The sequence below is a fragment of the Homo sapiens genome, chromosome 14, assembly GCF_000001405.40.
Source record: "Homo sapiens chromosome 14, GRCh38.p14 Primary Assembly".
Classification (NCBI taxonomy): Eukaryota; Metazoa; Chordata; class Mammalia; order Primates; family Hominidae; genus Homo; species Homo sapiens.
Genome location: NC_000014.9, coordinates 84699758 through 84714292, shown reverse-complemented (window position 1 = coordinate 84714292; position 14535 = coordinate 84699758). Strand labels below are relative to the sequence as shown.

The 14535-nt window shown below is 34.8% G+C and overlaps 1 annotated feature.

Annotated features, from left to right (window-relative positions):
* Positions 6016-6547: an enhancer, noted in NCBI's record as "OCT4-NANOG hESC enhancer chr14:85174090-85174621 (GRCh37/hg19 assembly coordinates)". NCBI's record gives its function as "activates a minimal SCP1, AML or CMV promoter by ChIP-STARR-seq in naive H9 embryonic stem cells {active_cell/tissue: H9 hESC(naive)}" and the evidence as "EXISTENCE:reporter gene assay evidence [ECO:0000049][PMID:30033119]".

The window sequence follows — 14535 nt, the reverse complement described above, 5'->3', positions numbered from 1 at the left end:
CTTTTTTTCCTCCCATTTTATTGGTACCTTCCATGTCATTGGTAGTGTTTCATGTATCAAAAAACTTGAGAGGTCATTAAATTAGCATTTTAAAAATGAGACTAAGTGGGAAATTATTTTATTTAAAATCAGTGCACTCACTTAATAGTCATTATTTTTTCCTAATCAGTGTGAGCTGAAAACACTACCCAGAAGCCACTGGATGTCAATCACTAAAGCATGAATTTTATTTGAAGCTGTGTTTTTAACCAGAATATAATTTTTATATATTTTGTTAAATTTAGCTATGAACAAAGTGGAACTAATAAACAGAAAGAAAAAATGAAAAAATTAGATAATTAAAAACAATAAAACAAAATGAATACCGCTTTTTTATTCAAATAATGTCATTCTTTATTTAACATTTAGGGTACTCACTCTCAAAAAGGCAAAACAGGCTGGGCGTGGTGGTTCATGCCTGTAATCCCAGCACTTTGGGAGGCCAAAGCAGGTGGATCACCTGAGGTCAGGAGTTTGAGACCAGCCTGCGCAACACAGTAAAACCCAGTCTCTACAAAAAATACACAAATTAGCTGGGCCTGGTGGCAGGCATCTGCACTCCCCGTTACTCTGGGATGCTGAGGCAGGAGAATCACTTGAACCCAGGAGGTGGAGGTTGCAGTGAGCTGAGATTGCGCCACTACACTCCAGCCAAAAAAAAAAAAAAAAGGAAAAAAAAAGGAAAAACATCAATACCTTAAGATGAATCATATCTGAGGGAAAGGCAGAGGTGGTCTTTTAAGGGAAGTCAGTCTGTATGGAAAGTCTGGTTGCGGAAACCTTGTCCAACACCCTTACCTGAAGTTTCATCCATCTAGTTGCAGGAAGCTCTTTATGTTTTCTTCATTTCCTACATGCAAGCAACGAGGCTCTTTTTCTTTTTCTTCTCCTTCTTTTAGTTTTGAATTTGGACAAGAATTTTCCAAACTTTTCAAAGTTAAAAAAAGTTTTTAAAAGTTAAAAAAAATTTAAACTAAAAAAACTCTAGTAAAACACATACTAATAGTATTTTGCTTACTCTAAAAGCAAAATACTATTTTTTGAATTGTCATTGATATTGTTACATATTCCCAGTTCTTGAATCCTATCTTTACATGAAAATAGTCTTCTCCCTCCCTCTTTCTTGTGTCTTTGAGGGATCTCTTATGCTCGCAATTTTTGCCCACCTACTCTTACAAGTAAAGGGATTAAATAGAAAACACCATCCAGCCAGGACAGAGATGTTATTTATAACAATACCTTTAATGAAGAGAGTCGTGTGCATTTTCATTTTATCCTCTCAATAATACTGCAAGGAATGTATATGGAATATGCATTATTATCCTCTGGCAAAGAGTTTAATAATTCTCTGCCACAAATTTCAATTAGTAGGCAGAAAATAGGTAGAAAGAAGAACAAAGTAAATACATATATATTAGTATATATACATTTATATATAGTATTTCTACACACACACACACACACACACTCAAATATATCACTCACTGGGTCAGCTCTTCTATCACTTAGTGACTTCCTCATAGAAGCCAACCTTTATAAATTCCTTTAAGTTTGTCTTTGCCACAAAAAGAATCTCCTAAACTTAGTAGGTCCAAAATGTGTATTTGTTGAGTCATACTTTTGCTTCTTTGAGAGTAATTTTTTTCATTAAGAATTTCTTATTTGAATGAATTGGTCAAAAATTGTTTTGTCTAAATATGTAACAAGATTTACCCATACTAATGTCCTGTGACTTCATACAAATATATCTTGATTGTTAAGTTTAAGCTTATGTGTAAGGCAATGTCAGGGGCACCAGAATGGCCCTGTTACTCAAGCTGAATTTCCTGCATTTCACACCTGTTGCTAAATGACACCAATCAAAATGGCATTTTTTAAACCTGCAACCTATTTTATCCATGTATTCATTAATTTAAATATGTTTTTGATTGCTTCTATCATCAAAGAATGGAGGCTGGAGGCAAAGGACCCTGGACACATGCAGTGAGACAGTGAGTGTAGATGTGAAAGGACAGAAAGAACAGCCATTATATCAGTAAAGCCTCTGTCCAGAAAGTAGAAAATCCTCTTGGTAATTTCAACATCTTGGCATTTACAATGTGACTCAATACTGACCAATAAGACATGATAAAAATTCTAAGGGGGCTTCTGAAGAAAATCTTGTCTGCTACCTCCACCCCTGTATGAGAGAGAGACAGAAAACGAGAGAGAGAGAGAGAGAGATGCAAAAGGATGTCCCCAGCACTCTTCAGCTTTCTTCCTTACTTGGACATCATTTTCTGTAACTATGTTAGGAAATGCTGCTGCCAACATGGAGCCATGAATAGAGGTAGAGAGATGCAAGAGACCCTGGCATCACTGAGACCTTGAACATGCCCTGAACAGTCTACCTGCAGCTATCTCTGGTGATGTGAGAAAAATACATTATTTGTAACTAAGCCACTTTTATAGTCAGGAATTCTGTTATTGTCACCAAACATATCCCAACTCTTTTAAAGATAAACTGAGTAATATATAACCTAGTCCTTTAAAATTATTTTGATTCATTTTGTTGTCAAATAAAAGTTAAAGAAATATCTTCCTTTCTCTCTTCTCTCCTGGTATATATAATATGTAATGTAATAAATATTATATAAATTTATATATGTAATATATATAAGACACACTCAACTCATTTTTGTTTTGCAAATACTCTGTTAGCCATTGCATTAGAAGCTGGAGATAATAAAGGAGAGGAGGAAAATGATGAAGGTGATGATGATAAGAGAAAATGCAAGCAGGCATAAAATGGGTAGGGACTTGATAGAGTATAGATATTTAGACAAAAAAATTCCAAAGATATTAATTTCAGAAACTTAGCAGAGAACAGCACATACTTATCTTCCTAGAATGGGAACCACCATTACCAAGCCCACCCCTACTTACTGGATTTCCTATCAAGCATCTTACATTTCTTAAACATAAGCAGACAGTCAAGAATCAAGATGCAGCAGAGGAAAGCTTAAATATCAAAGGCAGAGCCTAAGTAAACACAAAAAGAAAAAACCCAAAGGCACAAACAGTTTATAAGAAAATAATGTCAGAAAATTACCAATATTGTACCTATGAAAAATGATCAAGAGGGTACAGAGAAGATCATTGTGAACCACATTTAAAGAGTTTATGAGAATTCAAAATACAACAGGAGAAATGAAAAACTTTTGAGAATTTTTGCAAGGTAAAGTTAAAGAAATCTAGAAATCTGAGTGTAGAGGCACAAAAAGGTAAATATTAGACTTTTAAAAAAACCCAAAAGGCAAAAACCACCAAATATTCTATTGCAAGAGATCCAGCATTAGAATGCAAGAAAATTCATAAAAACAAAGATCAGCAAATGAAATTATTAAAAAAAAGCAAGAAAATTAATTCAAGGAATGTCTAAGATCTGAAGGTCATGAATTTTCAGACTGAAAGAGATCAATGAATGCTCACACCAATAGGTGGATATCAACATAAGTCAAGATAGTCATCATGACATCTTATAGCACTTGGTTCAAAGAAAATCAAATTCTTGGCTTTCAGAGATGGAGGAAATCACACTTAAAGATAAGAAATAGTAATGATTCTGATGTTCATATGCAACACTCAAAGCTCTCAAAGCTAGAAATTTAACAAACCTTCAAATATCCAAAGGAAAAGTCATACTTGCAGACAAAGACTCTAATAATTAATCTGTTGTGCATTCTTCTTCAGAAGGCTATTAGGGTATGTGCTCGACCAAAAAGAGGGAATAAATCAAGGAAGAAAACAAAAACACCAAATAGAGGAAAGAGGAGATTTTTAAATGAGCATAGAATTGAAGGGTCTCACTTGGATTTCCAAGAAGGCCAAAGCCAAAAGGGTGACCCTTGAGATGCCTGGAAAAGACCCAATGCAGTCAGCACACAAGTTTGGGATAGATTTTTTTTTTTTTTCAAAAAGGAGAAACTGATCACAACTCCAGTGTGGTAGAGCATATTAGGAAAAGATCTAGATAACTGAAGGGGAGTTTGACATAAGTATGCAAACAATAAACAAGAAAATAAGAAAACGTTGCACAGGGTTAGAAAGGTATCATGCATATTGCATGCCTCAGTGGTGAGTGATGGTTACATGTTCATAATAAAAACAATGAACATTTTCTAATCCAAAACTGTACAATTATTATAGTGGGAGGTATGGAAGAAGAAAGGGCATGTGTGATAACTGGGGAGGTTCCAACATCCATAGTGGAAACTTAACAGATTGATTTGAATTGGGAAGAATGAGGAAGAGAGACAGAGAGAGAAATAGTGAGACAGAGACAGAGACAGAGAGAGAGAGATACACACAGAGAGATACACAGAGTGACATAATTACATGTTTTGCAAATACAGGAGAATACACCAAAATAATCTAAAAGAAGGGGTTTGCTGTAAGGGATGAGACATGGAGAAGGAGAAGCAGTGCCAACTCTGTTCTGAACAAGCCTTGAGGTATCATTCATCACTTGAAATTATTTGTACAAATAGTTTTAATATAAATAGAAAATATAAAATATTGTATTTAAATTATATTTTAAAAGGTAAAAAAAAAAACAGATACTGACTCTCATTGCACCTGAGAATATAATCGCTTTTCAGTGAAAGGAAAAGTTATGTTTTTACATAAAAATAAAAGAAAAATATGGAGGCATAAGAAAAAAATCTTTAGAAGAAATTTTTAGAACTTTTTTTTAGGGGACACATCCTTATATTCATTCCATCATGGAGCTGTATTTCTTATCTCTTGAATTTTTCATGGCCATCCAGTGCTGAAAAGTAATTGAGGTATTAATGGAGCTTCAGTCTTATAACTTGTGCAGCACGAACAGACCAACATGTGAGCCAATGAAAGATGTTCCCTGGACACTCAGCTTGAGAAAATGATTGAAAAAGAATCTGAATGAGAATTCCAGAAAGTACAGTGCAATAGAGAAAGTATTATGTATTTTCTTTCATGGAAATGGTCATTTCCCTCCAGAAATATTTCTCTTTCTTTCTCTTTCTCTCTCTGCTTTCATTCCTCTCCTTCTTCCTTTCCCATTCTGTGTCTGTCTCTTTCTTTCTCTCTGCTCCCTCCACCCAATATATACAAAGTATTTGAGTCTCTGGTATGCTTAAATTGGTAAATTGTTGAGCTCAGCAAAACTGTGTTAAGAAGTGTTGAAATATTTATCCCCAAATTGGTTCAGCTTGTAAGCAATAAGAGCAGATGAACGGTTCCTGGAATGTGTAGTACATCATTACAGGGCTTACCCATGCATCACTTACTGCCGGTAGATTCTTTATACTGTACTTTCATGAAGACAGAAAGAGGTATTGAAGGAGAAATCCACCAAATAGTACTTCCAGACAGACAGAATGTCCCTGCCAGGGGATAGACAAAGGCCTAAGGACACAGGACCCTATCATTTATATTTTTACTTCTGCACTTAAAGTGAGCAGTTTTATAAAGATGTTAAAAGTCCAAACAAGCCTTTTTACTAGCACTTTCTGCACCCCATTATTTCATCAGTAATGTTCAGTGTGTTCTACTTGTTCTGTTAAGGTGTTGTCTCTTTAATTTCTAGGTATTTTAGAATAAGACTCATGCGGAATAAGAATATAATTGGTTTAGAAAATTTAAAACTATAATCTTTTGCCTGAAGTTGAATTTAAATATGGTATTCCAAGTAAAACATCATGGCCCCCAATGAAAAAAAAAATAAAATTGATGCTGCTGACATATTGCAAATGTTTGAGATTTCCCACATGTGGGGAAGGGAGATGGATAGGAATGTGTGGGAGGAAAGGTGAACTATAAAAGATTAATAACATAAGGCAACCAACACCTCTGAGATCCTGTCTTTAATTAACATTTATTAACATGAATATAATTAGTAATGGAATGTGTAATGAAAAGAGCATAACATCAGCAAAGACAAGACCAAATATTCATCTTTGATTTCTCTCATACTATCATTAAGATCTTCAGAAAATAATTTTTTTGTGCATTTTTGTTACCTAATCTTTAAAATAACAATAAATCTGTGCAAGAATTATACTCAATAGAAAAGTAGAAATGCTGATATGGTTTGGTTGTGTCACCAGCCAAATCATCTTGAATTGTAATCTCCATAATCCCCACATGTCTAGGGAGGTGACGGGATCATGGGGGCAGTTCCCCCCTGCTGTTCTCATGATAATGAGTTCTCAGGAGATCTGATGGTTTTCTAAGGGGCTCTTCCCCCTTCACTACTCACTCTTCTCTTTCCTGCTGCCATGTGAAAAAGGACCTTGCTTCCACTTTGCCTTCTGCCATGATTGTCAGTTTCCTGATGCATTCCCAGCCATGTTGAACTGTGAGTCAGTTAAACCTCTTTCCTTTGTAAATTACCCAGTCTAGGACAGTTCTTTATAGCAGCGTGAAAATAGACCAATATAGATGCAATATCCACATTTAGAAACTATGACATAATCCATAAATATTAGTTACTATTAATGTATTTTCTTCCAGAAGGGGAAATGAAGAAAGTAAGTTTAAAGCATTGTCTGTGACTGGCAGTAGCAAAAGAAAGAAAGTTGATGGAGCCTTCCAAAGAGACAGGCCACCAGTTTCAAATTCAAAGGCAGCAGCTAGAAGGTTACTAAAGATCAATATTGAAAGATTCACAAATTTATCTGTGATCATCCTTAGATTCCTTCTGTTTTTCAAAGGGGTAAATGGGTGTCTTTCTAAGATGTGATAGATATCTAGAGACCAGAGGAAGAGTCACCAAGTAAAAGGAGAGCGATATAGAGGACAAAACATGTTATTTGAATTTAGGAGACTCTCTCAAGATTTTGACAGTAATTAAGAGTCAGGTACTGTTTGTGGTGACTCATCTATTAAGATGCCAATTGCTAAGAAAATGAGGGCTAAGTCTCAACCAGTGATTAGGACTACGTTTCAGAAGCCCATTCCTGTGGAATAGAAATTAGGGCAAGATTTCTGGAACTGGTGGTCAATTATTATCTGTGGAAGAAGTCTAGACAGAAAAACTGAGATAACATGAACAAAAGTTGGGTAAAGTGGCTATGAGGTTCAGGTGAAGGAGATGGTGAGGAGTGAGGAAATCTATGAATGGAGGGATTCTCTACACCAGGGTTGTGCTTTGATATTATCAATATTTGAGCCCACCAGTAGCTGATGCTGTACTTACTGATGTCCTGCAACAGTGGGAAAGTTCAAGTAACAATGCCAATTAAAAATACAGGGAAAGAAAGGGAAATTTTAAAGGAAATTCGTGCCTGAATTTGTATGATAAAAGGGCAGTGATATTGAACCATTTTTCAGGAAATCTGGGCATGTGTATGTTTGATCATCTAGCTAGCTCTCAATGTGTTCCTACTAACAAAACAATAACTGTTGTCTACCCTATTTTTTCTGAATAGACCAAGTTTCCTGTTTGAGTACATTAGTAATTGTGAGGAAATGGGCATAAGCTAAAAACTAAAATTCTAATTCAACCTTTTTCAGCCTAATCTATTTTAAAGAAAGATTTGTGATAACAAATAGGTTTCACCAACATGAAATGACTCTTTCATATTTGTCTCGATAATTATTTCAACACAGGAAACTTTACATTTAGATTTTTTCAGTAAACAAGGGTGGCCTACCTCAAGAATTTTGGTAGATTTTTTCATAAGTAAGTTTTATGTAAATTCCTTTTGTAACACATACACACATGCTAATTTGCAAGTGAGTGTGTGAAACTTTAATATTTTATTTATATGTAATTTTAAGGCAGAAAACATACCCTGAATGCTAAAGTTTAAAAAAAACTGCGATTAATTTCACATTAGCATTAGTGATGTGCATTAAAACCAGAAAAAAAGTTTAGGAAACATACATTTTAAAGTAGGGTGGGCAAAAGTTTTATGTTGTTTTTCATTTTAGATGTGTTTTTAAAAATACGTTGTGAAGAATGTGTTTGCATCTCTAATGGTTTCTTTGGCATTCTCCATAATTGAATCATTCTCTAATTACTGATCAATAAGCAAATAATAATAGAAATTGAATATTTGGATAAATTAATCTAGTTCATTAAAATAGACCAGTCATTTCCATCAAAATATTCAATCTGGAAGCTCTTAAATAAGTGCATTATAGAAAGTAAGCTTTCTTATTCAAATCAGAAGACCATCATGTATCCTTTATTGTTAAAACCTGGATTTTTCTTTTTTCCTTCAGGTGGTTTCTCCATAGCCTGGGTAAATTAGATCATTGATCACATATATCTAAGGCACAGTCACTATTTATGCAATCAATGAACTTGAATTTAAACTGATAGACAAGATTTTTTTTAATACAGAGTACACAATAATTGACATTCAATAACTGGCCAGAAATGAAATTATAAATCACATTTTTTTACTTTACCAAAAGAGAGTCTATTTTACAGGAGCTTGTTGTATAACAGGGGTTTGATTATTTTTATTCTTCATTTTGTGGTATTCATTGACTGTTGGAGTGTAAAGCATGCAAAACTTTAATCCTATTTTAGTGTGACTTGTTATTTATGTTATGTTAAACTAACACAAAGAACTACAGTTCACACTGATGCTTTAAGATTACAAGGTTCAAATTCTAGAGGGCTGAATTTAGTGTTTATGTGATTTAACTACATATAAATATTCAGTACAAATGTAGAAGAAATAAAGTCAATACAGTAAATGATTTCTACTTAACTTGCATATTAGAAACAAAATTTCTGAAAAGCCAGTTTTATTCTAGACCCAGATAGTAGCTACTGATATGATGATAATTAGGCTATAATATATCTACAGTTTTAAAACATCAGAACATGGTGATATAAGTAAACTGGATAGAGACCATTTAATTTTAATTTTGTTTTTTTGAATTAGTGAAACAAAATACATATTTGGGGATATTTCTTCCAGTTTTATTTTCACCTTCCACCTTCCTCATATAATCACTTAGAGGCAATGGAGCTCACACATATGATAATTGGTGCCTGATTAATTGTTCTGTTAGAATCTTTTTCAATAGTATAACTACTTATCTTACAATTGAACGACATAAACTCTTAGAATCTATATAATTCATTTTAATCTCACAGCCACAGATTTTATGTAGAATGGCATTTTTGAATCTTCAATAGTTTAGAATTTCATAAGGTTCAATTCAAATGAGAAACAAAAATAACTACAAATTCAAGATTTTGGAAATGGCTTTGAATATATTTGGATTTTATCTAAAATGACTTTTTAGAGCATAAGCAGAAGAAAACAGACATGTTTGCATACACAGTTACTTAACATCCACTCTGATCCTTCATCCCCTATATGAATTCCTCGGTTTCACCTCATGGTCATGCGATAGCAATTCTAAATATTTTTCTCTACCCTAAAAATAAAAATATTTTAAATTTTTCTCTCTTTCAAATTATAAAAGAATGTTCTCTAAAATGTAAATATGAAGAATTTATGTTCCCAGAAGGCAAACTCATGCCAGCATTATGAGTTCATCATCATTAGCAGAAAAACTAGATTGGTATATGTGAATATATCATCTTTCATGTATATACTTACAGGGTTAATGACTTTAATATTGGGAAAAGTATGAAAATTGCCCAAAAGAGAAAATTAATTTTTTAACTGATAAAATATAGATAGATAAGAAAAGTGGTCAAAGGAAAAACAGAAAAAAATCATGTAAGGAAGACCGTATCAATGTAGTCTTAGGAGAATATGATTTATAGAATTGTCTCTTGTGCCTCAACTCCACAGAGGTGCTCTGAAAAATAAATTTGTGCCTACATGACTATACACATATCTACATAATGGAATATGAAGTCAATTAATTTTTAATATTCTAACATGGTTTTAAACAGTTAAACTATGCTTACCTAAGGTCACAACTTTAGTTTGTTTCTAGGTACTAAATAAAAGCAATAACTAACAACTATACTCCAAGATTACTTTTGGATATTGAAGAGAGGGAAAGTGGAAAGTAGAGGTAATATGTCTCCCTTTATTTACTGTATACTGTAAACCAATTATTTTGTTTTTGTTTTTTTTTTTTTTGCTAATAGGCTATTGCTGGTCACTAGATATGATAGATTCCCGTATATTCCACGGTGGCCAGGTCTATGCAAACCTACCCCGAAGTCCAAGGAAACTGAGGGGCCAGAAAAAGAGGGTGACATACTCAGTTTCTTATAAATAAACCTTTAATAGGGACTTACAAACAGAGGCCATGTCTGTGTCTAGGACTGCAATGAGACAAGATGGTGGATCCCCATGATCTCCATGCTGATACCCCCAGACCCTGGGTTTATATATAATAGAGAAAGGGTGATTCAGAAGGGATGTGTAAGACAACTGAAATATGATAACATCAAGACTGCCCTAACCTAAGGGCAGGATTTATGGTAAATATGTGCTCTTACATAAAGAACAACAGATAAACTGGAAATCTTAGAGGCCGTCTCAGAACTGGGCTTCCTCAGAAGTCAACATGGTGGATTAGCATCTGAGAGGGAGTTGTCTTGGCTTCCATGCTGTGAGTGTGTTATGAAAACTAGGGTATGTTCTACCTTGAGGGCTTCATTACATACCTCCCTTAGGAACCTACAGAAAGAGGGGGACTGCATCTGTATGTCTGAAGTTCTTCAGTTATAGGTATAGGACAATGGGAGGCTATTGAAGTTCTGCAAGCAGCATTAAAAAATAGAAAACATTAACGTATCACTAACTAATCTTGAAGATGAAACTTTTCTGTTAATAATGTACAGTCCTGGGTGAGTAGTGGTAAAAATTCATTCATCTATGAGGATAATTAGAATATTAAAGTCCACAGTTAGAACTTGGCATTTTGTAAATACATCCAAAGAGATGTTTACCACGAGAACCCAGGGTTTGAAATATATTCCTCCACTAACCTTAAAGTACTGTACAAGAAAGGAGGTAAGATATACCACCTCTTGGACAAAGACATGTCTTATGGAAAGTAAACTTGGAAAAGATAAAACAATGAAATCATCCTACATGGTCTAGTTCAGCCTTTGCAAAAGCACATTATATATATATGTGTATATATAGTATATATGTGTGTATATGTATAGTGTGTATATATATGTGTGTGTGTGTGTGTATATATATTATATATATATATATATATATATATCACTGAGGGTCTATTTTATTCTATTTAGTGTGATACTAATCTATAATATTGATTATAAAAATTGTGTTTTGGCTGGGCTTGGTGGCTCATGCCTGTAATCCCAGCACTTTGGGAGGCCGAGGTGGGCAGATCACGAGGTCAAGAGACCGAGACCATCCTGGCCAACATAGTGAAACCCTGTCTCTACTAAAAATACAAAAAATTAGCTGGGCATAGTGGTGGGCACCTGTAGTCCCAGCTACTTGGGTGGCTGAGGCAGGAGAATCGTTTGAACCTGGGAGGTGGGGGTTGCAGTGAGCCGAGATCATGCCACTGCACTCCAGCCTGGTGAATGAGCGAGACTCCGTCTCAATAAAAAACAAACAAACAAACAAACAAACTGTATTTTACCACCTTGGCCTAAAAACAGTGCTACCACCTTCTTTTTTCTTTCTTGGAGTTCCCAATTACATAGTTAAAAATAAACCAGACCAAATTCACCTGCTCAGTTCCTTTAGCTTAGTAGTTCTCAAAGTGTTATCTCTGGAAAAGTAGTGTCAGCACCACTTAAGAACTCATGAGAAATGCTAATTTTCATCTCCACCTGACACCTACTGAATCAGAAACCCCAGGATAGAATCCAGGAACAAGACCCCTGAGCAGTTCTGATGCTGTGTGATCTATTCTGATAGTGTGAGAATCGCTGTTGCAGGTCAGTATCACAGGTGCTTAACTGTCAAAACTAAAATGGCTCCTTCACTTGCCAGTGAATTTCCAACGCCATTGTATGAAAGTCTCAAACCGCTAGACACCTCTTTCCTTCCTCAACATTCTGTTCCAATCTTTTCTGCTCATTGCTTCACACTAATTCTGAAAAATGCAACCATACTACTCTATTTATGCCAATTTGTAAAAATTATTCACATTGAAATATGTGGCCCATGGAGACATATATTAGTTTAGTACTGAGTGCTCATCCTTGAATGGTAGACTTTTTATTTAACTTTTAAGTTCAGGGTACATGTGCAGTATGTGCAGGTGTGTTACATAGGTCAACATGTACCACGGTGGTTTGCTGCACAGATCATCCCATCACCTAGGTATTAAGCCCAGCATCCTTTGGCTATTTTTCCTGATGCTGTCCTTCCCCACATCCCCCAACCCCGACAGGCCCTAGTGTGTGTTGTTACCCCTCATGTTTCATGTGTTCTCATCATTCAGCTCCCACTTATATGTGAGAACATGCAGTGTTTGGTTTTCTATTCCTGCAGTAGTTTTCTGAGGATAGTGGCTTCCAGCTCCATCCATGTCCCTGCAAAGGACATGATTTCATTTCTTTTATGGCTGCATAGTATTCCATGGGGGGTATATGTACCACATTTTCTTTATCCAGTCTATCATTGATGGACATTTGGGTTGATTCCATGTCTTTGCTATTGTCAACACTGCTGCAATGAACATAAGCATGCATGTATCTTTATAATAGAATGTTTTTTATTCCTTTGGGTGTATACCCAGTAATGAGATTATTGGGTCAAATGTTATTTCTGCCTCTATATCTTTGAGGAATTGCCACACTGTCTTCTACAATGGCTGAATTAATTTACATTCCCACCTAAAGCATTTCTTTTTCTCTGCAACCTCATCAGCATCTGTCGTTTTTTGACTTTTTAATAATTGCCATTCTGACTAGCTTGAGATGGTATCTCATTGTGGTTTTGATTTGCATTTTTCTAATAATCAGTGATATTGAGCTTTTTTTCATATGTTTGTTAGCCGCACGTATGTCTTCTGAGAAGTGTCTGTTCATGTCTTTTACCCACTTTTTTTTTCTTGTAAATTTGTTTCAGTTCCTTGTAGATTCTGGATATTAGACCTTTGTCTGATAGACTGCAAAAATTTTCTCTCATTCTGTAGGTTGCTTGTTCACTCTGATGATAATTTCTTTTGCTGTGCAGCAGCTCTTTAATTAGATCCAATTTGTCAATTTTTCGTTTTGTTGCAATTGTTTTTGGCATTTTTATCATGAAATCTTTGCGGACAACAATGCCCTGAATAGTATTGCCCAGATTTTCTTCTAGGGTTTTTATGGTTTTGCATTTTATATTTATGTTTTTAATCCATTTTGAGTTAATTTTTATATAAGGTGTAAGGAATGGGTTTGCTTTCAAAATTCTGTATATAGCTAGCGAGTTCTCCCAGCACCATTTATTAAATAGGGAATTCTTTTTCCCCATTGCTTGTTTTTGTTAGGTTTGCAATGGCAGACTTTTTAACATCGTTACATATTTCAATTATTCTGTAATTATATTATGGGTCAGATGTACACAACCTACTCAGTCATACATACTACTTGTTGTCAGTTCATGACACATATAAATATAAGGAAATGTTTTTCAAATTGAATAATTCAGTAATACATCAAGGAATGTAAGAAAAATGTGATGCGTCATCTTAGAAACTATTAAACCTAAAATTTTGAAGGAGACTGAGGAGGCACTATAGTTAAAATATAGCAGACACAAATGTATACTGTCAAGGATGTCAAAGTTTTTATAAATTTTTGAGGAAAATATAACCCTTTCTAGAAATATCAGAACAGAACTCTGGGTTTAAACTCTTCTCTTTCAACAAGTGTAGTTAAATTTTTGAGGAAAATATAAGCCTTTCTAGAAATATCGGAACAGAGCTGTGGGTTTAGACTCTTCCCTCTCATCAAGTGTAATTAAATGGAAAAGTCATTAGAAGTCCTCATGGGGCTGACTAGATGTTCTTCAAGGCCTCTTTTAATTCAGGCCATAGAATTTTCATTTTACAGAAGCTTTAACTTTGTTGAATGGCTAGAAGGGGCTTAAGAGAAAAGATGTCATAAAGAATTTAACACTTAGGAACAGGAGTTGAGAGTGAGACTTCACTGAAATATCTCTTTCAGTGGAGTACAGTAAGATCTATATTGTGTGCTCTGTTCCCACAGAGGAAGTACTTTATAGAGATCTCGGAAGACTCCTCTGAGGAGGAAGGCATGGAAATACTTCTATCAATTTTTCTTTGAAATTTATTTTGTAAAGCGTGGTAAATCAAAGCAGAAAACAATGCAATGAATTTTCAAACAAAAAACCAAAATGAGGAGAAAAAAGAAAGCAAATAGATCCCAAGCTCCCCTTTGCTGTTGACCCAAATAGTTCACCTTTTCTAAAATGTAGGTAGTACTCTGTGGCTGATTACTTTGATGGTCATTCTTGACAAGGATAGCTTAGTGATAAGCCATGGTTTCTCTGAATAGCAAGAGGTGCTCAGAATTACAGCTGC